Source organism: Homo sapiens, chromosome 5 (assembly GCF_000001405.40).
Source record: "Homo sapiens chromosome 5, GRCh38.p14 Primary Assembly".
NCBI classification, from domain to species: domain Eukaryota; kingdom Metazoa; phylum Chordata; class Mammalia; order Primates; family Hominidae; genus Homo; species Homo sapiens.
In genome coordinates, this window is record NC_000005.10 from 21,156,537 (window position 1) to 21,183,440 (window position 26,904).

Genomic DNA, 26,904 nt, shown 5'->3' on the forward strand with positions numbered 1-26,904 from the left:
GGTACAAAAATCAGACACATAGACCAATGGAACAGAATAGAGAACCCAGAAATAATTTTATGAATTTACAGTTAATTGATTTCTGACAAAGATTCTAGGAACACACAATGGAGAAAGGATTGTCTTTTCAATAAATGGTGCTGAGAAATACTGAGTGATGTAAAATGTTCACACCACAAAAATAATAACTGTGAGGTAATGCATATTTTAATCAGCTAGATTTAAATATTCCACAATGTATATACACAGAAAAACATCATGTACTTGATAAATATATACAATTATATTTGTTAATTTAAAATAAATAAATTAGAGGAAAATAAATGATGCTAGGAAAACTGGATATCCACATGCAGAAGAATAAAATTAGACTCTTATAACACAGAAAAACAATCAAATCAAAATATATTAAAGACTTAAATTTCAGACCTGAAACTGTAAAATTACTAGAAGCAAATAGAACGAAAAAAAGCTCCATGACATTGACTTAAGTAATAAATTTTTTGGAGCTGAGTCTATAGGTACCAGCAACAAAAGCAAAGTAGACAAATGGGATTCGCAAACTGAAAAGCTCTGCACAGAAAAGGAAACAGTCAACAGAATGAAGAGACAACCTACAAATGGGAGAAAATATTTATAAACCATACATTTAATAAGGTTAATATTCTATATGTAGGGAATTCAGACAACTCAATAGGAATAAAACAAATAACTTGATTTTTATAAATGGCCAACAGGTTTATTAAAAAATGTTCAACATTACTAATCATTGGGGAAATTCAAATTACAATCACAATTCAATTATAATCACAATGAGGTAACACCTCACACCTGTGATTGAAATTCAATTACAATCACGATGAGGTAACACCTCACACCTCTTAGAATGGCTATTATCAAAAAGACAAAAAATAACAAGTGTTAAGAGAGGATGTGAAGAAAAGGGAACTCTTTTTTTTTTTTTTTTTTTGAGACAGAGTTTCGCTCTGTCGCCCAGGCTGGAGTGCAGTGGCACGATCTCGGCTCACTGCAAGCTCCCCCTCCCGGGTTCACGCCATTCTCCTGCCTCAGCCTCCCGAGTAGCTGGGACTATAGGCGCCCGCCACCACGCCCGACTAAATTTTTTTGTATTTTTAGTAGAGACGGGGTTTCACCGTGTTAGCCAGGATGGTCTCTATCTCCTGACCTCATGATCTGCCCGCCTCGGCCTCCCAAAGTACTGGGATTACAGGCGTGAGACACCGCGCCAGGCTGAAAAGGGAACTCTTTTACAACCATAGTGAAAAACACTATAGAGGTTCTTCAAAAACCTAAAAGTAAAACTATCATATGATCCAAATATATATATGTATACCCAAAAGAAAGGAAATAAGTATATCAAAGGGAAATCTGTGCTCCCTTGTTTATTGCAACATTATTCACAATAGCCAAGTTATAGAATTTACTTAGTTGTCCAGCAGTGGATGAACAAAAGAAAACGTGGTATATATACGCAATGGAATATTCTTTAGCCATAAAAATAATGAAGTCCTGTCATTTGCAATAACAAATTGCATCATTAAACATTATGTTAGTTGAAATAATCCAGGCACAGAAAGAAAAATACCACATGATCTCACTCATATGTAGAATCCCAAAATGTCAAACACATAAAAGTAGAAAGTAGAATAGCATTTACCAGGGACTGGGTTTACGCACTAGTTGGGGGGATGTAGTACCAAGGATTCAAATTTTGAGTTAGACAGAAGGAAACATTCAAGCAACGTATTTTATAATATGGCGACTATAGTTAATAACAATGTATTTTATGCTTGAAAATTGCTGAGAGTAGATTTTAAGTGCTTTGCCCCAAAAAGCTATGTGAGGTAATGCATGTGTTAAATAACTTGATTCAGTCATTCCACAATACACAAATATTTCAAAACATCACATCATACACAATAAATATATACAATTTTTGTCAATTTAAAAAGATATGATTTTTAAAAAGATTTGTTCTATTATTTCCCTTTGTTTCTGCTTACATTAATAACCCCTATATTTTATTATATGAATATGTTTTATTTACACACACACAAACACACATGCACACACAGAATCTTTAACTGAAATGAAGAAGACTTGGCCAGGAGAGAGTTTAGGTTTGGGGAGTTGTTACATATACAAGTGGAAAAGAACAAGCTGTTAGATTTGTAAATGTCTGGAACTTAGAGGAGGAAATGGAGTTGGAGAGAGAAATGGGAGTCATAAGAAAATATTTCATAAGTCTCAAAGACTGGATCATTTTATCTGAGGAGACGGTAAAGATGGAGTAGTGGAGAGGGCTTAGGGCTCAGCCCTGTGGCACCCTAACAGCATGACAGAGTGAAAAGGTTCATCAAAGGAGACTAAAAAGTATTCTGTGTGACCATGGGGGAAAGCCAGAAAATAACCACAAATGCAAAAACATCTCCCCCGACCCTCCACCAAAATAATAACAACAACAACAAAACCACCTAAATGAGTGGGACTCAATGAAAGCTAAAGGAAACATGTTTCAAGAAAAATGGGTTGATTATGTCCAATGCCACTATGAAGTCAAGGATAAATACTGATTACAGGTTCTGGCAAAATTTTAAAATATTTAAGAGCTGGTTAAGAGATATTTTAGTGTTTATGACGTCAAAGTTGGATTTGTTGTGATAGAGAATATGTGGAAATGGAAATCGTACATATTCATAGCTGTTATTCTAAGTTTTGTTGTAAAAAGTCGAGCCAAATGAGGAGATAGCCAGACATCTATGTGCATTCAATGTACTTTTGTGTATTTTATTTTGCTATTTAAATGGGGGATATTCAGGATGTGTATATGACTATGGACAAAAAAATAGATAATGACTGCAAAACTGAGGTCCATGAAAGGAAAGAAGGGATGAATCCAGAGGTTGGTGGAATGTCTGGATTTAAATCGAGGAGGGCTACTTCTCTGAGTAATAGAAGATGTGTTTGATTATATGAGTTTGGAGGCACATAGGCTGGGTCTACATGCTTTGTCTGTGAACTGTGGTGTGAGGTAATAACTGGGCATGAGGCATGAAACATTCTTCTGGGAAATAGGAAAAGTTACATATGAGGAAACTGTCAGATAATTGTCTAGGTTTATGAAGTTAAAATTTCAAAATGTGATTCATCCTAAATTTGAAATCCATCCAATCGTCATCAGGTATTTGGCAATAATCAGCTATTTGGGGTGTAATTCCGGAAAATTGATCTGTAAGTTTACTCCTCTGAGTTTCTTACAGAGGAGTACAAGAGAAGGATGACTCAACAGAAGAACTCAACAGTGAATCAAGTCAGTGTTGAGAGATCTGCTCTGTGCAACCTATGCCAGGTAATAAGATGAAAATCTGAGGGGTGTCATGTCTCTACCTCATGTTCCTTCATTTGACTACAACTTATAACTACAGGGGCAGTAAACCGTTCACATGTGTGCTGATAGTTTCCTTCCTCAAGTGCCACTGGTTCTCAGCTTATCTGCCTTATCTGCCTTAAGGCTTTCTCTCTCTCTCTTTTTTTTTTTTTTTTTGAGACGGAGTCTCACACCTGTTGCCCAGGGCTGGAGTGCAATGGCATGATCTCAGCTCACTGCAATCTTTGCCTCCCTGGTTCAAACGGGAGGCCTCAGCCTCCCAAGTAGCTGGGATTACAAGTGCCCACCACCACAGCCGGCTAATTTCTTTTGTATTTTTAGTTGAGACAAGGTTTCACTACTTTGGCCAGAATGGTCTCCAACTCCTGACCTCATGATCTGCTTGCCTCAGCCTCCCAAAGTGCTGAGATTACAGGCATGAGCCACTGCTCATGGTCAAGGCTTTTTCTAACACTTAAATATTTTTCTCAGCTTATATTCACAATATTTATCACCTGACAACAAGAATTGAGCCCCCATACAAATCTCAACCAATGAAATTGTGGAGTCATTGAGTAAATTCACCAACTTCTACACTCTTCTATGGAAAATTCTAAAGTGTGTCTTGCATAGTTCCACAGTGGATCTTCAGGAAGCTTGTGCTGCATTTGTCTATTGTAATACATGGATTATTATTGCACACTGTGTTTGCTTCTTCTCTTCTTTAATTCACTTTTCCCACATCCTGAGTTTTTCTTCTTGAAATCACCTCAGAAATAAACCACACACACCCAAGCACTTAGATTGCAGTGTCTCCTTTAGTGGAATGCCAACCAGGACAGAGAGGGGTCATGGAAAGTGAAGTGTTGAGGACCCTGGATTAAAATAATTGTAGAGGTAAATACTTTATTCAGTTATTATACTAAAGTGTGTAACTTGGAAAGATGGGAAGTGATTCTTGGATGATGATAGATAGAAATGAGATTTAAGAGGTAGTGAAACTAAGTTTTTACCTCCAAGGAAGGCTTGGAGTATAAGTAAAATGAGTAATTTGCTGATGTGTGGCTAGCAAAAAATGGTGATAAGTATTGATCAGATTATCTATGTGGATACCGACACTGCTAAAAACATAATGGGGTGCCAGGCATGGTGGCTCACACCTGTAATCCCAGCACTTTGGAAGGCCAAGGTGGGTGGATCATTTGAGGTCAGGAGTTCGAAACCAGCCTGACTGACATGGTGAAACCCCGTCTCTACTAAAAACACAAAAAAATTAGCTGGGTGTGGTGACACAAGCCTGTAGTCCCACCTACTTGGGAAGCTGAGGCAGGAGAATCACTTGAACCTGGGAGGCAGAGGTTGCAGTAAACCGAGATCGCACCACTGCACTCCAGCCTGGGTGACAGAGCAAGACTCCATCTCAAATAATAATAATAATAATAATAATAATGGGTTTGATGGTTATGATGAAGAGCTAAAATCATAAGTAGAAGATTGGGAATAACAGGAAAGTTTGTAGGGAACTTAGGCGGATAATATTTACTTCATAGAGATAGGACATATGAAGGGGAAGGAAAGAAAAACAGAAAACCACAAGGGGGACCAAAGAGGACATCCAAACAATGTAGTCTTCTAAATTCTTTCAGTGCAGGTTTTACAAAAAATGCTTCCACTGTGAATGCTGCAAGAGAACATGGCTAGAAATGAAGGCCTAGTATAGCTGGTCTAGGGCTCCTGCCAAGAACTTGGGGGGCAGCTTAATGTGAGATGACAGATGAAGACTCTAATGCTACTTGGCTTATCAATAGGAATTAGCAACAACTCTTTGCAACACTATAGGAATTGCAAGCAGCAAAGTGTTCACGGCAAGAAGATGACTCCAGGTTCCTTTTGCAAAAGGAATTTTAAGAGGTCTGGAACAGTAATCTTTACTGTCCTACTAATGTGTTGTGACCCTGGGTTAGGTTCTTAACCTTTATCTGCTTTAGTTTCTTCAACTTATAAAATGCAGATGAGACAATGTTGTGTGGGTTAATTAGTGTTCCTAAAATATTGAACATTATTAAATGTAGTTAGAAGCACTAATTACTCACATTGACAAAAAGGCAAGGTTTGGGGCAGAGGCAACTGCGTTTGTGATAAGAGTATCTAGTGCCCTTTAACCTCTTAATTTCATATGTGTCTTGACTTTCCTAACAAGACGTTTTCTGCTTTGATGCCAATAAATTGAACAAATCTTACTAGCACATGAACATTGATATCAGCCAAGTGAATATTTTGTTAATATTCCCTATATAACCAGTGTAATTAATACTGTGATAATAGACAAAGTGATGTAGCAAATAGTGCTTGTGATCCCAGGTCAAAAGAAATAATTGTAGTGCTCCATAATTGCATGTGTGTGACCGATCTTGTGCTAATTTGAATCTCAGAGCATTTACACGGATTCAAATTTATAATGACTAATATATACATGATCATCTCTTATTCAAAATAGTTGTAAGGCTTCAGTGAAATGGTATTATCTTAAAATATTTTTGAACTGCAAATGAATAAATAACTATCATTACTATTTACTTGCTCTATTTCTTCCAATCAATTTTAAGAAGAAGATTTCTGTGCTTGTCCTTCCTTCCTGCACCTGATTGAAAGAAGAGCTACTTTGTCAATTTATTCAGTCATTCATCCATCCGTTTATTCAATGATCAAGTATTATACATCTTAAAATGTTAGAATTGAGCCTGGGGTAAAGAAAAATATAACAGTCCTTTTACCTAAGGGATTCACATGCATTTAAAAATAATTATAATGCATGATGCTGTCATGTTAGTATTATATATACCACATTGACATGTTACAAAGTTGTACAATCTCAGCAGCTTATAAATATATGCATATATTATCTCATAGTTTCTTTTTTTTTTTTTTTTTTTTTTTTTTGAGACGGAGTCTCACTCTGTCGCCAGGCTGGAGTGCAGTGGTGCCATCTCAGCTCATTGCAACCTCTGCCTCCTAGGTTCAAGCGATTCTACTGCCTCAGCCTCCTGAGTAGCTGGGATTACAGGGGCGTGCCACCATGCCTGACTAATTTTTGTATTTTTGGTAGAGACAGGTTTTGCCATGTTGGCCAGCCTGGTCTTGAACTCCTGACCTCAGGTGATCCACCCAGCTCAGCCTCCCAAAGTGCTGGGATTACAGGCATGAGCCACTGTGCCCTGCCTCATAGTTTCTGTAGGTCAGAAATCTGGATATAATTTAGCTGGATATTCCACTGGGAATCATATAAACCTGCAACTGAGGGTCCACCCAGAGTTCATTCTCAGCTAGAGGTTCAACTGGGGATCAATCTACATCTAAACTTCAGGTCATTGGTAGAATCTATTTCCTGGTGGCTGTGCAATTACTGAAGGCTCTAGCATTTTGTTGGCTGATGGCTAGGGACTGCTCACAGTTCTTAGAAGTTACTTATAATTTCTTGCCATTTGGGCTTCTTTAACATGACCACTTTCTTCATTAAGACAGCATAAAGATTTGTCACCTTAAAGAGGGTCCAATTCCTCTCTTAGGAGCTTAAACCTGATTATATTAGACCTACCTAGGATAATCCCCTTTATGATTCACAGCATAAACTGATTTGTAAAACTTAATTACATCTGCAAAATCCTTTCTCTTTGTCATATTCTATTGACAAGAAGCAAGTCACAGGTCCTGCTCACACTCAGATGGAGAATATTCTAGATGATACGAACACCCTGGGAGCCACTTCTAGGATCTGGCCACAACAACTTGGAAGAGTCTGTGTTTTTTTTTTTTTAAATGAAGCTTTAATTAACACTAACAATAAAAATAAGAACTAACGTTAGGAGGCCTTACATTCTCAAGGTTATAGACAAAAGTAAACAAATACAGGTTGAATTTCCCTTATCCAAAATGGTTCAGACCAAGTGTGTTTCAGATTCTAAATTTCTTTAGGCTTTTGAAATGTTAGTATATACATAGTGAGATATCTTGGAGATGGGACCCATGTCTAAAGAGGAAACTCACTTATGTTTCGTATCACCTAAAACACATAGCCTGGACATAATTTATACAATGTCTTAAATAATTTTGTGCATGAAACAAAATATTGACTGTCTTTTGACAGACCCATCACATGAGGTCAGGTGTGAAATTTTTCACTTGCGACATCATGTCACCGCTCAGAAAGTTTTGAAATTCGGAGCGTTTTAAATTTCAGGTTAGAGATGCTCAACTCGTCATTCAATTTAATTAGTTATATAGAATCTATAATCACAATATTATGTAGTAATAATTAAAAAAAAATAAGGAAGGGAATGGCAAATGCTATCAGTGAGTAGGAGGATCCGTCATTTTATATAGGGTGATCAGTGGTAAACTCTCTGACACAAATATTGTATTAGTCCATTTTCACACTGCTATAAAGAACTGCCTGAGACTAGGTAATTTATAAAGGAAAGAGGTTTAATTGACTCACAGCTCAGCATGGCTGCAGAGGCCTCAGGAAACTTACAATCATTGGGGAAGGAAAAGGGGAAGCAAGGCACCTTCTTCACAAGGCGGCAGGAAGGAGAATGAATGCAGGAAGAACTACCAAACACTTACAAAACCGTCAGACCTCATGAGAACTCAGTCCCTATCATGAGAACAGCATGGGGGAAACCGCCCCCATGATCCAATTATCTCCACCTGGTCTCTCCCTTGACACGTGGGGATCATGGGGATTAGGGGGATGATAATTCAAGATGAGATTTGTGCAGGGCCAGTAGGCCTAATCATATCAGATATGTTTAGGCAGATGCCTGAAGGAAGCCATGCAAATATCTGGTGGGAGAATATTCCAGGTTGGGAGGTATATTTGATGACATATTGAACTAAGACTTTGAATTTTACTCCAAGAGAAATAGGAAAACACTGGGAGGGGCCGTTAGAAAGGATGGTTCAGACGTTGTATATAGAACATGACATTGGTAAGAGATAAGTGTAATGCCCAACCTTGTTTTTACTAACCCTGTTTTTAGACTCTCCCTTTTCCTTTAATCACCTAGCCTTGTTTCCACCTGAATTGACTCTCCCTTAGCTAAGACAGCCAGACAGACTCCATCTTGGCTCTGTCACTGGCAGCCCCTTCCTCAAGGACTTAATTTGTGCAAGCTGACTCCCAGCACATCCAAGAATGCAATTAACTGATAAAGATACTGTGGCAAGCTACATCTGCAATTCCCAGGAATTCGTCTGATTGATAACGCCCAAAGCCCCGAGTCTATCACCTTGTAATAGTCTTAAAGCCCCTGCACCTGGAACTGTTTACTTTCCTGTAACCATTTATCCTTTTAACTTTTTGCCTACTTTATTTCTGTAAAATTGTTTTAACTAGGCCCCCCTCCCCTTTCTAAACCAAAGTATAAAAGAAAATCTAGCCCCTTCTTCGGGGCCAAGAGAATTTTGAGCGTTAGCCGTCTCTTGGCCGCCGGCTAAATAAATGGACTCTTAATTTGTCTCAAAGTGTGGTGTTTTCTCTAACTCGCTCAGGTACAACATTAGGAAGTAGGACTCAGTTAATATGTTACTGCAGAGACCCAATTGAAAGGTAAGGTTGACTTGGTGTTTGAATACTTGTTAATGAGTGAGTGGTTAAATATTAGGTACATTTTCAAGATAAAACTGGGACAATTTGTGGATAGATTGGATGTGGATAGGGATGCCAAAGATTTTGCAAGCACAAGAAAGGTGTTGTCATATGCTTAGATGGAAAAACCTTTGTAGAAACTTGCATGAAGCATTCATTTCTAAGTATTGATCCCTGTATCATCCCATTATTTAGAGAATAGGAAGATTAGGAAAACTATCAAGAAATACAAAATAGAGATGAATCGTACAAATAAGGGAGATAATATAATGTGGAGTCCCAGAAGTCAGTGATAAAATATGTATAAATTTGAAGTAATATTATTTAACTTTCTTCCTCAGCCACCTGCAGACACTAGAAAAGTTAGAAGTGTTAGATCAATCATGGTTGCAGTTATGTAGGCATATAGTATAAAGAACGAGGCCGGGCATGGTGGCTCACACCTGTAATCCCAGCACTTTGGGAGGCCGAGGCAGGCGGATCACGAGGTTGGGAGTTCGAGACCAGCCTGGCCAATATGGTGAAACCCTATCTCTACTAAAAATACAAAAAGTAGCTGGGCATGATGACATGCACCTGTAGTCCCAGCTACTCAGGGGTTTGAGGCAGGAGAATCCCTTGAACCCGGGAGGCAGAGGTTGCGGTGAGCCGAGGTTGGGCCTCTGCACTCCAACCTGGGCGACAGAGCGAGACTCCATCTACACACACACAAAAAAAAAAAAAAAAAAAAGACGATAAGGGCAAAGGGTTTAAGGGTATATGTAAGATTCTTACGGATGACATTCTTATGGATGACAGATTCACAGTTTGGAAGAAAGGGAAAACAGAACACGGGGTTTGGAGGTGACAGACTCTTTGCTTGACCACACTAATTAGGCTCCTGATCCTTCTCCTAGGTCCATTTGTGCACTCTTCTGTAAAATCCAATGTTAGCAAGGACACTGCTAAGTCAGGTTAGCAAGAATCCCCTATCCTTGACATCTGAACCCCCTCAATATCTGATCCTCATTCTCAACTATTCCCCAAGTGATTTTTGATTACCTAGGTCTATCTTCGCTAGGATCCTGTTAGTTCAGTTTAGCTGTTATTCTCAGCCTAATTCATAGTGTGGTCTTGGGAGCGGTCCTTGTCTTTGGAATAGAGGCAACCAGAGGGAATAATTGCAGAAATATGGACTTCCTTCATTTCTTCTTTAGTTCTAAATGTAACTCAGATTCTCAAAATGAAACATCATATAATTTCCTTCTCAGATTTATCTTTATTAATTGGAATCAGTAAAGAATTAATAAAATCAAAAGGTACTGTAGTCACCAAGGGGGCAGTGATTTGTCTGACATTAGTGAATGGCTTGGCTTTTAATATAAAATATTTTTATGAAAGAAAATTTTGCTGATTTGTGTACAAGGTAACTAACTTTTCAGGCTAGTTCCAAAGTATTTATGTTTATTTAAAAAATATATTTCTGTTCAACCATTGTGGAAGACAGTGTGGCAATTCCTCAAGAATTTAGAACCAGAAATACCATTTGACCCAGCAATCCCATTACTGAGTATATACCCAAAGGATTATAAATCATTCTACTATAAAAATACATGCACACGTATGTTTATTGTTGCACTGTTCACAATAGCAAAGACTTGGAAGCAAGCCAAATGTCCATCAATGATAGACTGGATAAAGAAAATGTGGCACATATACACCATGGAATACTATGCAGCCATAAAAAGGGATGAGTTCATGTCCTTTTCAGGGACATGGATGAAGCTGGAAACCATCACTCTTAGCAAACTAACACAAGAACAGAAAACCAAAAACTGCATGTTCTCACTCATAAGTTGGAGTTGAACAATGAGAACACATGGACACAGAGAGGGGAACATCACACACCGGGGCCTGTCAGGGGGTGGGTGGCTAGGGGAGGGATAGTGTTAGGAGAATTACCTAATGTAGATGACAGGTTGATGGGTGCAGCAAACCACCATGGCATGTGTATACCTATGTAACAAATCTGCACATTCTGCACATGTACTCCAAAATTTAAAGTATAACTTTAAAAAAAGAAAAAAATATATATATACATGTATATGTTTCTGGCCAGGTGTGGTGGCTCCTGACTCTTATCACAGTACTTTGGGAGGCCAAGATGGGCAGAGAGTTCGAGACCAGCTTGGGCAACATGGCAAAGCCCTGTCTCTACAAAAATAAAAAATAAAACAGCCAGGCCTGATGTGCACCTGTGGTCCCAGCTACTCGGGAGGCTGAGGCAGGAGAATCATTTGAGCCTGGGAGGCAAAGGTTTTAGTGAGTTGAGTTTCATGCCACTGCACTCCAGCCTGTGTGACAGGGTGAGAGTCTGTCCCCAAAAAATAAAATAAGATTAAAATAAAAATATATTTCTAAGTAATTTGTTTGAATTTTATAAACCAAGGTCCAGTTATTATAGGTATTACAGAAGCAGTACTTGCTATTCAATAGCATGATGTTTTGCTATCTCTGCCCTCTCAATAACTTCTGGTTAGGGATACAAGGACATGGAATGTAGAAAATTCATAACTGCTTTGCTTTTAAAATCATTATAATGTAGCTGATAAGCCTTCAGTAGACTGGCTTATAAGCAATGAGAGCCAGGCAAATAGATTGAACTTATACTTTATAAAATACCCTAGTTCTACCCTTTTCACAATATCTGGCAAATCATTCATTTTGCCAGGTTTACAGAGAGCCATTTAGTAAAATGAAAGACATATCCTATGAACAAAGATTTAATAACTCTCTATTAAAGTCTAGAGCATTATGATACTAACTGCCACTTCCCCTCCCTCATTGTCTGTGTTCTAGTTAAATGAGCTGTTTATCTCTTCATAGATTTTTATCTCAATAAATTGCAAAGTCCTAGAAATGGAAAGTGTGACTTATCAAAAGCTTTTTCAAGGAGCAGGCATTTAGAATATGAGTGATGATTGAATTTCATAATAAATTTCTTTATTTTTTCCCTAATATTAAGTATTGTGTTTTGTTAGTTTTTTTTAGTCAGGAGGTTGTATGATGTATAAGAGTTGATAAATAACTTATCCCCTTGATTACAGGCGTACCTCAGAGATATTACAGATTTAGTTCTAGGCCATAGCAATAAATCAAATATTGCATTAAAGTGAGTCACACAAAATTTTTGGCTTCCCAGTGCATAAAAAATTATGTTTACACTATACTGTAGTTTATTAAGTGTGCAATAGCATTATGTCTACAAAGCTATGTATATACCTTACTTTAAAATGATTTGTTAAACCATGGGAGCTTCAGCGAGTCAGAATCTTTTTGCTGGTAGAATGTCTTGCTTCCATATTGATGACTGTTGACTGATCAGAGTGGTGGGTAATGAAGGTTGGAGTAGCTGTGGCAATGTCTTAACATAAGACAACAATGATGTTTGTCACATTGTTTTTCCCTTAATGAAAGATTTATCTGTAGCACTTGATTCTGTTTGATAGCATTTTACCTGTAGTCAAACTTCTTTTCAAATAGGATAATTTCCATTTTAGTGAGGATGGTTTCCTCACTAAACTTAATGATTTCTAGCTTTTAATTTAACGTGAAAGATGTATGGTCCTTCTTTTCACTTGAATATTTCAGGGCCATTGTAGAGTGATTGTTATAATTTTAATATTGTTATGTCTTAGGGAGTAGGGAAGACCAAGAAGAGGAATGGAGAAATGGGATGGCTGTTGGTGGAGCAGTCAGAACACACATAATGTCTATCAAATAAGTTTGCCATCTTATATGGTTTGTGTCCCCCCAATCAATGACAAGAGTAACATCGAAAATCTCTGATCACACATCAACATAACTGATATAATGTAGAAAAAAAGTTTGAAATATTGTGAGAATTACCAAAGTGTAATGCAGAGACACAGAAGTGAACCGTTGCTATTGGAAAAATGGTACTGATAGTCTTGCTTCATGCTGGGTTACCACAAACCCTCAATTTTTAAAGAAATGCAATTTTTGTAAAGCGCAGTAAAGGGAAACACAATAAAATGTGATATACTGATTTATGTTTATTCACATATTACTCTTTATCTGTGAATTAGTCAGGGTTCTGTAGAGGGACACAGCTAATATATCTAGAAGGACAGAACTATATATGTGTATATATATATGTGTGTGTGTATATATACACATATATAAATATATATATATGTGTATATATAATAGTAAGTATTAACTCATATGATCACAAAGTCCCACAATAGGCAGTCTGCAGGTTAAGGAGCAAGGAGAGCCAGTCCGAGTTCCAAAACTGAAGAATTTGAGTCCAATGTTTGAGGGCAGAAAGCATCCAGCATCGCAGAAAGATATAGGCTGGGAGGCTAGGCCAGTCTCTCTTTTCACATTTTTCTGCCCGTTTAAATTCTAGCCATGCTGGCAGCAGATTAGATGGTGCCCACCCAGATTAAGGGTGGGTCTACCTTTCCCAGCCACTGACTCAAATGTTAATATCCTGTGGCAACACCCTCACAGACACACCCAGGATCAATACTTTGCATCCTTCAATCCAATCAAGTTGACACTCAGTATTAATCATAACGATCTAATATCAGAATGAACTTAGCTAAATATACTCAGGTTGGCCTTTGGCACACATATATAGGAATGAAATAGAAAGAGTGTTGCTAGCAGTGAATTCTGAGAACTGGAGGGAATCTCAGAGGTACTTAAGGAAAGCAGGTATTATTAGCTAGTGGCGGAGCTGAGGGGGCTCTGCATTCCAGATGATATTTATGATATTTTCTTATGTTTTGTTTTCCTTCCCAAAAATGTGTGTCTCTGAGTTACAGCACCATGATTTGTCAAATATAAATTATGTTTCAAGTAATTATCCATAAATGTTAATTACTAATGCAACCTGTACATTTTTAAAAAAATTTTATATTTTTATAAAGGATTTCTCAAATTTTTTGTTAATTATAATGTACTTGTAATCTTGTAAAAAATTTAGCAATAGTTCGAATGATGACATTATTTTCTTTATAGTAAATATACCATGAGTTTTCAGGAGAAAGGACCATTCTAATGTATGCAATTTCCTTGAACTGTTGATGTAAGAATTCATGTGAAAATAGGGGCTTATTGCACTTAGCAGATAAAAAAGTGTATAATAGCTAAGATATTGAATAACAAGGTTTGAAATCATAGAGGTGCAGATTAGAATCATGACTGGATAGAATAAGACTGAGTGCTCAACTAGATATTTATAAAAAATATTTTAAAGGTTTTCAAGAAGACAGAAACTTATTAAACATGACATGCACAAGAATGCCATAACAAGAAACTGTGGTAAAGGGAATTTTATCTTTCAAATCCTCTTTAAGATGATAAACCAAGTCTGGAATGACCTGTGACCCACACCTAATTTTTGTATTTGTTCCTCAACCTATTAGGCCTAACTCCAAGAAACATGTTTTGGAAGAATAAAATGAAAAGAAATTTGCAATACCAGAGTTATGAATTAAGCCCTGCTAAATTATCCTCTTTAATTTTACTGTGTACCAGTGTGGTGTGTTTCAAAGTATTTTATATAATCTGCCCATCAAATAAAGTCACACTGAAATATAGTTATTTAGGTCAAAGGGGTGTTGTCAAAAGTGATTCATCACATAAGAGAAGTGAATGGGTTTTTCAAAACTTGCAATTTAAAGTAATAAAAACTCTTTGCATATTAGATATGATCAGTATGTAAACAAGATATTCTCCTATTCAAATATGCTTTTGGATGTTTCCTTAAGTAGATGTATCTATTTGGACTTGCTACATTTTCCATAATTTCTTGTCTAAATTAAAGCAATAGCCTTATAATTAGCTGAACTGATTTGATCCTTATCTGTCTTTCATAATTTTCCTAGATGATAGCCAGAAATCTTGTTTAGAAACCTAGGTGAAATCAAGCCGGGTGTGGTGGCTCACACCTGTAATCCCAGCACTTTGAGAGGCTGAGGTGGGTGGATAACTGAGGTCAGGAGTTTGAAACCAGCCTGGCCAACATACTGAAACTCAGTCTCTAATCAAAAAACAAAAATTAGCCAGGCCTGCTGGTGCACACCTGTAATCCCAGCTTCCCTGGAGGCTGAGGTGGGAGAATCTCTCGAACCCGAAAGGCGGGGGTTGCTGAAGTTGCAGTGAGCAGAGATCACGCCACTGCACTCCAGCCTGGGCAATAGAGCGAGACTCTGTCAAAAAACAGGGAGAGGAGGGCAGGGAAAGGGAGGGGGGCGAGGGGAGAAACCTACATGAAATCTTTTCATTCCTTTGCTAAAAACTTTTATGTAGCTCCCTATTTCAGTCTGAGTATAATTCTTTATAATGACTTAACCACCAACGTGATCATGCTGCCCTTAGTTGTCCACATCTTGACTTTTCCTCTGGTTTATTCATCTTCTTCCCTAACCACACTGGCCTCATCATAGCTCTCTCCAAATGTGCCGTTCAACATTATTGTCAAATATCACCAAAAAGAGGCCTGCTCTTATGGGCCTAAATAAATGGTAACCCACCCCCAGGCCCTACCAACAACTGCAAGCCCTTTCCTTGCTTTACTTTAGCTTTGGCTCCAGAAGGCTCATTGCTTTGAAATGTAACATATCCTGGGTGAGTTAGGTGCACTGTTATCTGTCTCCTTGTCACCTCTAGAATGTAAGCTCCATAAAGGAGGTGTTTTTGTTTGGTTCATTGATGTATCTTAGGAAAATGGAGTTGAACTTGACTCACTGTAGGCCTTCAATACATACAGTTTTAAGTCGAATTACATAAAAATAGAGAAAAAATGCATGGTTTTGTCTTAATATAAGTAGTGGTATTAAAGTGTTAATTGTCCTAGGAAGCAAATGAGCAAAAGTTATACGATCTATTTTTACATTTCCTTAAAAATGAGCAAGTTATATAGAATTGAAAATTCACCTGGGAGATGTTTTCTGTTGTTTGAATTCTGATGAAGCAGTGTCTTTCTTTCAGCTCACCAAATCAATCAAGCCAAGAAAACCTAAAAATCGATATCCAGACTTCTTACAAAGTACATATTAAATGATCTTTGAAATTAAGCATTAATGATCATGAACAATGGAGGAAGTTTCAAATGCTGTATATCAGAAAGACCTTTACAAGAAAAATGTCATTTGACTCATTTCAATAAGCATTATTATGTTCAACAAATCAAGGAGTGTTATAATTTAATTTTCATGATCAAGGTTTGCAATTTTCATCTAGTTTAATGTTCACTCGGCATTTTTAAATTAAATTCCTAGGTTATGAAGTTTTTCCTTTAAAATCTTCCTTGCATTTTGCAAATAAATGTTACATGTGGCAGCATTCCAATGAAATATATTGTGCATTTGCCCCATCAACAGGTTGACAGATTTGGGGCTGAAACAAAATGGGTTGTTCTCTTAGATTTTTAAACCATATTGAGTATCACACATGAAAAACTGCAAGGGGGGGAGGTGGTAGAGTTTCCCCCATCCTCCTCCTCTTGTGCTTTACATTTCATTGTAATGAGAAACTGAAATATAACTCTTAGCAAGAGCCAACTACAAAATCATTCCCTTCCCTTTTGAGTAATGATCTTCTCATAGTAAAAAATGAAATGATGAAAAGGTTAGAATATGTTTTAAATCATTCTTGAAAAGGTTATAATTGCGTCATTATTTGGGTCATTGTCAAATCAATGCTTTAGTTCTCCATATGTTAGCCATATTAGCCATCGGGAAAATATGAGAGAATATTTGTTTTAGCACTTAAGAATAACATGGTGTTGTGAATCTTTAATATAAATTACTTTCAAATTCATTTTATGCTTGAATATTTCTTTTTTTAATGTCAATCTACTATTTAAACTAATGCCTATGTAAAACAAAAATATTTTCTTTTGCATAAAATATGCCTCGCATGGCAAGTTAAACATTGTAATTAGGAATGTAAAGGGTATCAAAATCAATTGCATGCACTCAACGCAATCTACAGCACTCTATTTGAAGTATCAATCCACAAATACAAAAAAAGAAAGTTACCCCAATAATGTGATAGTGATATTTCATAATATTTTCTATTTCTGTACCAACAGGAATTCAGGAAATGCTGCTTGGATGTCAATGTTAAATGTTTCAGCCTTTAAATGAATCATTCATATTTCAAAACATATTCAATTCAAGCCAGGAAGTATTAGTACCATGGTAAATTGTCACCACTCCTTTGCAAGCATAAATAATACACCTGTGTCTCCCACCCCAGTCCAACTACATCCGATTCCATGGGTCTGCATCATTATCTCCAAAACCTTCCAGTTGCATTGCTGTCATGTTTGTGTTAAAGAGACTGATGAGGTAGGTTTACTGTCGAAACATGTTAGTAAAAAGAAAGTTAGTTTTTTGAAATGTAAAAAAAAAAATTCTAATAACTACATGAAAAAATGAAAATACCCATCACATGTCAATTAACACTTCTTTTTTTTTTTTTTTGAGATGGAGTCTCACTCTGTCGCCCAAGCTGGAGTGCAGTGGCACAATATCTGCTCACTGCAAGCTCCGCCTCCTGGTTTCCCACCATTCTCCTGCCTCAGCCTCCCAAGTAGCTGGGACTACAGGCGCCCACCACCATACCCAGCTAATTTTTGTATTTTTAGTAGAGGTGGGGTTTCACCATGTTAGCCAGGATGGTTTCGATCTCCTGACCTCGTGATCCGCCCACCTCATCCTCCCAAAGTGCTGGGATTACAGGCGTGAGCCACTGTGCCAGGCCAACACTTCCCATTTTTAACAGGACTGCCGTGGTACCAAAATGGTGATTTTTCTATTTAATCATTTTTCTGTGTGTTTGTTTTCTCAAGTAAGTATTGAGTTCTATATAATCAAAACCAAAGTATTGCCATCTCACAGTCCTACTTAATGATATTTTATAGATCTTTATTAACTTTAAGTCATTTTCAAATGATCAAAAGTGAATGATTTTTTAATCCTGGAGAGATACTTTAAAAACTGGTCAGGTCTCAGAAAATCTCTGCAGTAAAAGAAGAACATTCTATCTATAGCATACAATATGTAAAAATGATATATGCTTGAGGACATGATAATCTATTAACAATTTTCAATTATCTTTTAAGTAGATAATATTTTCCTCCAGATTTATTTATTTGGTCAATTTATAAATATGATTTTTCTATTTGGTTCTCTTTTCTCAGAAGGACATCGACTGCAAGGCAAGTCATTAGTGTGGAATAAAACAAAACAAAACTTCACCCTCCCACAGTGTTTTAGTTAAAAAAAAAAGTTCTGCTTGATACCTTGCTTTATCTGAGTAGTGTTCTATTCGGCCTAAATATCCTATAACTAATTTCTACATATATATATATGTATATATATATATACACACACACTATATATATATATAAACTATATATATACACTATATACACACACACTGTATATATATAAACTATATATATATAAACTATATATATATATATATATAGCGAGACTCTTGCCTCAAATATATATATATTTGAGGCAAGAGTCTCGCTCTGTCACCCAGGCTGAAGTGCAGTGGCATGATCTCGTCTCACTGCAACCTCCGCCTTCTGGATTCAAACTAGTCTTGTGCCTCAGTCTCCCCAGTAGCTGGGATCACAGGTACACAACATTATGCCTGGCAATTTTTTTTTTTTGGTAATTTTAATAAAAACAAGGTTTCACCATGTTGCCCAGGTTGGTCTCAAACTTCCGGTCTCAAGTGATCCACTGGCCTCGGCCCCCGTAAGTGTTGGGATTATAGGCATAAGCCACAGCCTCTGGCCTGTACTAAAAATATTCTAATGAAATATGTTTTCTAACATATGGTATGTGAAAGATCAGATTTTTATTGTTTTACATTTTTACTGTTGATTTCAGTAATTTTAAACTGAGTAAAGAAAGATAACTGTAGTTTTTAGAAAAATAAATATATAAAAACAAGTACCTGAAAGTGGAAGATTGTGGAAAAACAAAGCAGACACTGGAAGGAGTGTTACACTTGGAAACAGGGATGAAGATACGATGAAGAGTGATTTACTCATGTCATTGTTTTTATCATGAGATAGCCCAAATTTATATCTGACAGGAAGGCTAACATTTCAATAGAAAAACTCACAGTCTCATCGTTTTGAAAACACCAGAAGCCAGAATTTACGGCAATCACAGCCACTGGAATCTAAAGGGAAAAATTCCAGAAAGGAGAGAGCCAGGGAAGTGGATCTATGAATTCCGTGTATGAATTCTGCCCAAATATATAGCTCACTCCTGAACCAGAAAAGCATGGGGCCAACTTCCCACAGGCCTTCTCATAGGTCCGCCAAAGCTAAAAAAAAAGGATGAAAATTTGATCTGCCACCTACTTCAGAAAATAAGAGTTTTATTATTTGATTAACTGTCAAATCAATTGCCTGCTAAAATGAAATAGAAAAATATTAGCATTCTTAAGAGAAATAGAAGATAACCCATATTCTCCCTATCATAACATTCAAAATGTCCAGAATCCAATTCAAAATTATGAAATGTATCAAGAAATAGGAAAGCATGATCCATTTGCAAGAGAAAAAAATAATCAATACAGACAAAATTCTAGATGACATATATTGGCATTAGAACATAAAGACCTCAAAATATTATTTTAGCTACTCACCAGGCAAAATTCTTCCTCTTCTATCAAAATCAAGTTTTCAGGCTGAGCAGAAGATTCAGAGAAAAGAATTTCCACCCAAGCATATTTTGTGTTGAAAGGGAAAAAAAACTGTATAACTTCATTGGGCAAATCATCCAGTTTTCTTACAATAAGACTTAATGTCTTGTTGATAGCCACCTACTCTCTGAATACCAAGCAGCAATAGGAACATTTCAAAATTTCGTTTTGCAACCTGATTTTCACATAGATTCAATTTCGCTTAAAATCCAAAAATCTCATTATATTATAAAAATGTTTCTCCAGAGTCTTACAGATGCTTGTTCCACTGTATCATATGATGGTAAATGTCTGTTATGTGGGCTAAATTCTGCAGCCATTTTTTTTTTAATCATCAAAGCACTCAGCAAAATGTGGCTTATTTTTTCTTGTATGTATTCACGCATTTCAACTTTCAGCTGAACACCCTGTGAAAAACAGATCCTTTGGTAACCTATTGGATTTCTACATGTACAGGAGGTTTCTCTCAAACATTCAGGCATTTTTTTTTCCTCAAAAATTCTCAGGTGTACTTGTTTTTCTTTAATAATATACATATGACTTTTTGTAGCATTATCTATATTTTTTTCATTTAATCTCCAATGTCTTTGGCACAAGTGCCTCTCGACAAAGCATTCAGTTTGTTGGGAAGATGCAGGATTTGCTTGATTCTACAAGAAGCATAATCCTCCTTAGACCCAGTGGTTGGTAATGCACTGTCAGTACAGAAGCCAACACAGTACCTCCAAGAATGAATTTTGTTTTCAGCTATGAATAAAAATCTAAGTATAATTTTGTCTTGTGCTTGTTGTGCCCAGCTCTTTGTAACAAGAAAGCATATTTTTTAACATTCATCATTATTTAAAAATTATTTGAGTGCTTAGCTTGACATGTTTTATGGAATTTGGTGTTTGCTTTGAATGGTTGTGTACCTTCAAAATACATGTTGAAACTTAGTCCTTAATGCAACAGAATTTAGAGGTGAGGATTTTAATAGGTAATTGGATCATGAGGATTCTGCTCTTATGAATGGAATTAGCACCCCGATAAAAAGACCTGAGGCAGTCTTTGCACCTTTATCCATTTTGCTTTTCTACCACATAAGAATACAGCTTTATGCCCTTCATCCACATGTGGATGTAGCTACAAGACACCATCAATGAGGAATGGTGCCCTCGCCAGACACTAAACCTGCCAGCATCTTGATCTTGAACTTCCCAGGTTCCAGAATTAGGAGAAATAAATTTCTATTATGTATAAATTACTCTATCTAAGGTATTTTGTAATGGATGTAATAAATGGAGTAAGACGTTTGGGTTTGTTCTTTGCTTTTTTCCTGTGTATTATAAAACATCTTCATAGGATGTAACTTATCATCAATACTTCAATATGTAGTACTATTTGAGAGTAAAACTCTTCATTTTCTCACACTGCATCTTTTGCTAGCATTTTAGTTGCTACACATGCAAAATTATTAGATTCTCACAAATTATGAATTTTATATTTCAGATGATAATTTTTATTGTTACTAAATGACTTTTTTCCTTATCATTTGCACTGAATAGAAGTTTGTAAACAAAGGTTTTATTTTGTTCACTTTGAGAGTCCAATATCTCCATCATTTCTCAACTGGTTATGAAACATAGTTTAGAGAATTTTAATTTTTCTGCAGCCATTGCCATATTTACATGTTATTTCTTAATGGACTTCAATAACATGTATTACCAGCACATATAAAAGTCATTGATAAATAGCTTTCATTGTAAAGACTAACTTTTTTGCAGTCTCTTGTTCATGGGGTTAGTTAATAACTTAGAGGTGCTCTTCATCATGAAGAACCTCAGAATTTTCTATAGACCTAGGCAAATAATTGTTTCCTCTAATACCTGCATTTAAAAATGGCCAAGTTATATTTTCAGACATGTTTGCAAGATGAAAATACTTACAAAATGTAAAATTAAGGGCCAAATAAATAGCAAAATGGAAAAAATTAAAATATTATAAAAACTTTCCAATGCAATGCACCCTTGATCTATACAAGTCATTGAATTGAAATGTTTCAAACAACAGAAAACCAGTGGGAAATGGCTGGTATTGGGAAGAGAGAAGACAAGTCTCAGTGTGTAAAAATTCCTTCCTTCTAAATAAAATTATCTTCCAATTTTCTGTTACATTAATAAAACTCTTTGGCCCTTGTAAGTTAGTGAGTGGTAGATGTGGAGAGATTAGAAGAGAGAATCCCTGAGGCAGAGGCTGCCCCCTTCTGCTATAGACAACACAACTTTCAGAAACTGAGACTATATTCAACCAAAGCAACACAGTCTTACAATAAATTGTCCTATGGGGATATAATATCTTTAATGAAATTGCTAATATGGTTGCTTGGTATCTCTCCATCATTATTCCTATTTTTAACTTAGTACAGCCATGCCATCTGTCTTTACTGTTCAAGTTCCTGTTCTCTTCTCACATCTTCAGAGTCTTACTTGTTCCAAATGTCCTCTCAAAACATGTTCAATGAACACAGCTCCTTTCCTGAGAAGAATTCTGAGGTCAGTTTTTGAAGTAATGTAAGTTTCCCCTCCCTCCCTTACACAGGTTTCATGGACTTCTCTGTAATAAGGAGTTCGATCAGGGAATAGAAGGCCTAATACTGGTATGAGGAGCAAATTTGCTGTTGAGAAAGCCAGATTTCAAATCTCCTTGAATTTAAGTTATGTGCCAAATATTAATGGTTATTCCTCATTTCATGGAACCAACTCAGGCTTTTCTTCTCTAAAATATAAAACTGAAGAAGTACAGGTTGAAAGGAAGCATGTGTTCATATATGAGTAGAGTTACTATTTAGAATTATCTGAATCAGAATATTAAAAGGCATGCTAATATGTAGTACAAATAACAGGTAGCTAATGTAGCTAATGTATCTGTTTACTACACATAAAAATTACATGGCTGGGAGCGGTGGCTCACACCTGTAATCCCAGCACTTTGGGAGGCCAAAGCGGGCAGATCACCGGAGGTTAGGAGTTGAAGACCAGCCTGGCCAACACGGTGAAACCACTCTCTACTAAAAATATAAAAATTAGCCAGGCAGGGTAGTGTGCACCTGTAGTCCCAGCTACTCAGGAGGCTGAGGCAGTAGAATCCCTTGAACCCAGGAGGAGGAGGTTTCAGTGAGCTAAGATCGCACCACTGCACTCCAGCCTGGGTGACAGAGCTAGACTCCATCTCAAAAAAATTTTACATGTTTTCTATATTTTAATATATGTACAATGTGCATATATGAGCATATTTATATGTACAGAGCTAGAGAGACAGAACAGAGGGTGAAGAGATGTACTAATTTTCTATTGCTGTGACAAATCACTGCAAATTTAATGGCTTAAAACAACTAAATTTATTGTCTTATAAGTTTATTATCTTATAGTTCTTCAGGTCAGAAATCTGAAATCTCACTGAGCTAAAATCAGCAGGGCTGCATTCCCTTTGGAGACTCTAGGGATGAATCCATTTCCTTGCCTTTTCCAGCTTCTAGAAGCTGTCCATCTTCCTTAGTCTATGGCCCTATCCTCCATCTTCAAAGCCAGCAATGGAGGGTTAAGTCCTGACATCATATTACTCTGAAACTGTTTTGTCATCTTACCTCTTTTTCTGACTTTCCTCTTCTGCTTAGCCATCCCATTTTTAAGGACCTTTATAATTACAGTTGACCCTTGAACCACAGGTTTGAACTATGTGGATCTACTTATATATGAATTTTCTTCCACCTCTGTCACCCCTGAGACAGCAAGACCAACCCCTCCTCTTCCTCGTTTGCCTCAGCCTACTCAGCTAAAGGTGACAGGAGAAAGAACTGTATGATGGTCCACTTAATAAATAGTAAATATATTTCCTCTTTCTTTATGATTTTCTTGATATCGTTTTCTTCTCCAGCTTACTTTATTGTGAGAATACAGCATAGAATATGTGTAATATACAAACTACGTGTTAATCAACTATTTACGTTATTGGTAAGACTTCTGGTGAACAGTAGGCTATTAGTAGCTAAGTCTTTGGGAAGTCAAATGTTACAGTGAATTTTTGGCTGCATGGGAATCAACTGAAAATATATGTACAGTTGACTCTTGCACAGTGAGAAGATTAGAGACAGGAAATCCATGATATCTCTCTACCTTAAGAACAACTGATAAGCAAACTCATTCTATCTGCAAATTTAATTTCTCCTTGCCATGTAACCCAGCATATTTACACATTTTGGGGATTAGGACATGGGTATCCTTGGGGGAATCAGCATTCAGCCTAACACAGTATATACTCTACATTTGGGGAAGTGGGTTTTCTATAAATGCTTTCTTGTTAAAGTTCCAAGAACATAGGGAGATTGCTGTTGTATAATCTTCTACAGAATGTACAAGTTTTTCTTAATTCAGGTAAATATTGTCCTAAATATTAAGAACTATAGAGAATGTCAATTTATTGAAAGGGCAATTATGAGATGACATATTTGTAAAGCTCATACCAAGTTTACTGGACTACTGTATATTTATGAAGGCATTGTTAAACTGTAAAAAATTAAATCTCTTCTACACCCCTTCATCTAAATTTTCAAGTCATATGCATATACATATTTCCAAATACTACACACCTATATGTATGTGCATGAATAAAAACATATATACACATACGCTTCTATACATATACAGAAAATATTTTTTATTTTATATATACACGTATGTATATAGCACATGTGTACATTTGTGTGTGTATATATATATACACACCTATATACACACACATATATATATATAAAGAGAGAGAGAGTCTATTCTCCTTATTCTCATGTTTCTGTATTTGAGGCTTTGTATTTGACAGTAGGCTAAATAGCCTCTTCACTACAATTTATGTACAAAGTCCAAACCAATGCTCACATCACTTTTATGGTCTTTTGTGGACATGCTTAGAGCAGTGAAAACTTTGAATTGTCTGATGTGCATCTTTCCAGGTGAGGCTGAGCAAGGTGACAATTTACTTTCTTGTTTTAACTTTTGCACTGCAAAGAAGTGTCGCTTTTGAGGCCTGTTGAGTGTCACATTTTTCACATTTATATGCTCTTTGATGTTGATTTCACTGTTTAAAATGGTCCCGAAGTGCAGCGCTGATGTGCCGTCTAGTGTTCCTAAGCTCAAGTGTTGTATTTTTTTTTCTAATAATTTGGTCTTGAGGTCTTTCAGGACAGTGGCAACAAACTCTCACCCTGTCCTTATGCGGCTCCAGGGAATGTGGGCATGGTTTACAGTGTGCCTTTCATAGGATTCTTAATTATTATGGCAAATGCCTGATACCCAAATGTCAACCCATGACAAGATGTTCCTCTCACAGAAAAGTTGATACTGGGAGATGCCCTTGTGGCTATTCTCTGATCTGTGTCCAGTTTATTCTTACCAAGATAGTCACTCTCTAAGACAGCCCTGAGCAGGAAAGAAGTTAGGTTTGTGTGTGTCAGATGGGTGAGACCTAGAGAAGGCAACTCAATAAATCACATGAAATAACAGAAGCTGTTGATTACTTACAGATCCCAGAGAGCAAAGGGCAGCAGGCCTTGCAGTTTCAACAGGAAGGGGGAAGCCATTCAGGAAACACAAGCTCTGCCAGCATGTGGGGAGCAAAAGAGAAAGTGAGGGCCCTGTAGGTCAAAGCCTCTATTGGAGTCCGGTGTGTTGCCCGAGCATGTTTTTCTCAGAGTTCTAATTGATGGCCTGAGTTCCATGGAATCATTCTGTGACTGAGAGGTGGGCACTGCTGCATGTCTGCTTAGTCCGTGTGGGGTGTGGAGGTCAGTGGGGGTTGTCAAGTAGGTTGTATCCAGCTATCCCATAGAAAAGTGGTCACCTGGATGCAGATGTTTAAGGCAGATATCTAGATCAACCACATGGAAGGACCGGAAGGGAATGGTGAACTGGAAACCGAGTCAAGGGTGACTAAGTCCCAATTCTGCTGTGAGAAAGTAAAACCTAAATTCAGAATGGATACTAAGGCAACATAAAATCATAAGAATGCATCATACCCGGAAGGCTGTGATGCATCTTACAGAAAAAATACGTGTGTTAAATAAGCTTGCTCAGACATGAGTTACAGCACTGTTGATAATAAGTTCAAAGTTTAAGCATACACCATATGTATCAAATAAGGTGTCATTAAATATTGGGGTGATCAGACCCGACACCAGGTCATGGGAGTGACAAAGTCCGACAGAGTCAAAGGATTGAGAAAAAGACAGTTTGAGAGAGAAAGCTGGGACCAGAGGGCCATCACTAGTGTATGGAGGCTGCGAAGGCCCTGAGCTCTGGGAGCCCATGCTCTTTATTGGTAATCCAACAGAGAAACAGGTGGTGAGAATGTGGAGGTCAAAAGGACGCGTTGTATTAAGCATATGATTTTCAGCTGTGATGGTTTAGCATTTGCTCTGCTACTTGAGATAATAGAGAGCAGGTTCTTTTAACTCAAGATACAATTGATCCTGGGAGAGCAAGGAGCAAGCAAATCTAGACACATTCCAGAGCCATGAGCCCTGGATTCTACTCAAGCCACAAGGGATTTTATGCCCTGGGCTGAGATTATGGTACATCAGGGTAGCCTTCCATCCTTTAGCACAAAGCTTGGTGTTCCAAAAGCCACAAGGGGTTTCAGACCCTGGACCCCGGACATGTTCCAAGACTCTTTTACATTATGTCAGACATGCAAGCCCTGCCTCAGCTTCTCCCAACACTTAGCTTTTTCCCAAAAATTAAACAGAAATGCACATAAAACAAAGTTATGGATTATCAGGTTAAAAAATGTTATGATCAGAGGCTCACAGAAACCTCACCCTGTATTTCCCTTAGGAGCAATAGCTTAGTGTTGGTTACGTAGTGTTTACAGTGACTTTGAGGCCATAACAATTGGTGAGAATCAACTCTCTGAATTTCCCCATTTTTTAAAATCCCTCTCTCTGTCTCTCTCTCTCTGTCTTTATATATATATATATATATATATATATATATATATATATGCTCTTTGATGTTGATTTTGCTGTTTAAAATGGTCTAGTTGTCCTGCAGTAATAGCATTATGAATGGCTTAGAGTTTAGTAACATGA

At 37.0% G+C, this 26,904-nt stretch overlaps 1 long non-coding RNA gene across 2 annotated transcripts in view; it reads right to left on the reverse strand.

Annotated features, from left to right (window-relative positions):
- LOC102723561 (uncharacterized) overlaps nucleotides 1–19,820 on the reverse strand; it is a 38,265-nt gene extending 18,445 nt beyond the window's left edge. The window contains exons 1-3 of one of the 2 annotated variants that reach the window (XR_001742405.1): nucleotides 19,734–19,820; nucleotides 15,987–16,068; nucleotides 11,998–12,438 (exon numbers count right to left, since the gene is read on the reverse strand). This is a non-coding gene — a long non-coding RNA (uncharacterized LOC102723561). Of the gene's footprint in view, nucleotides 1–11,997; nucleotides 12,439–15,986; nucleotides 16,069–19,733 lie in introns of those variants that run through there. The other variant, XR_001742404.1, reaches the window with a different exon arrangement.
- Between the last annotated feature and the right edge of the window lie 7,084 nt (nucleotides 19,821–26,904).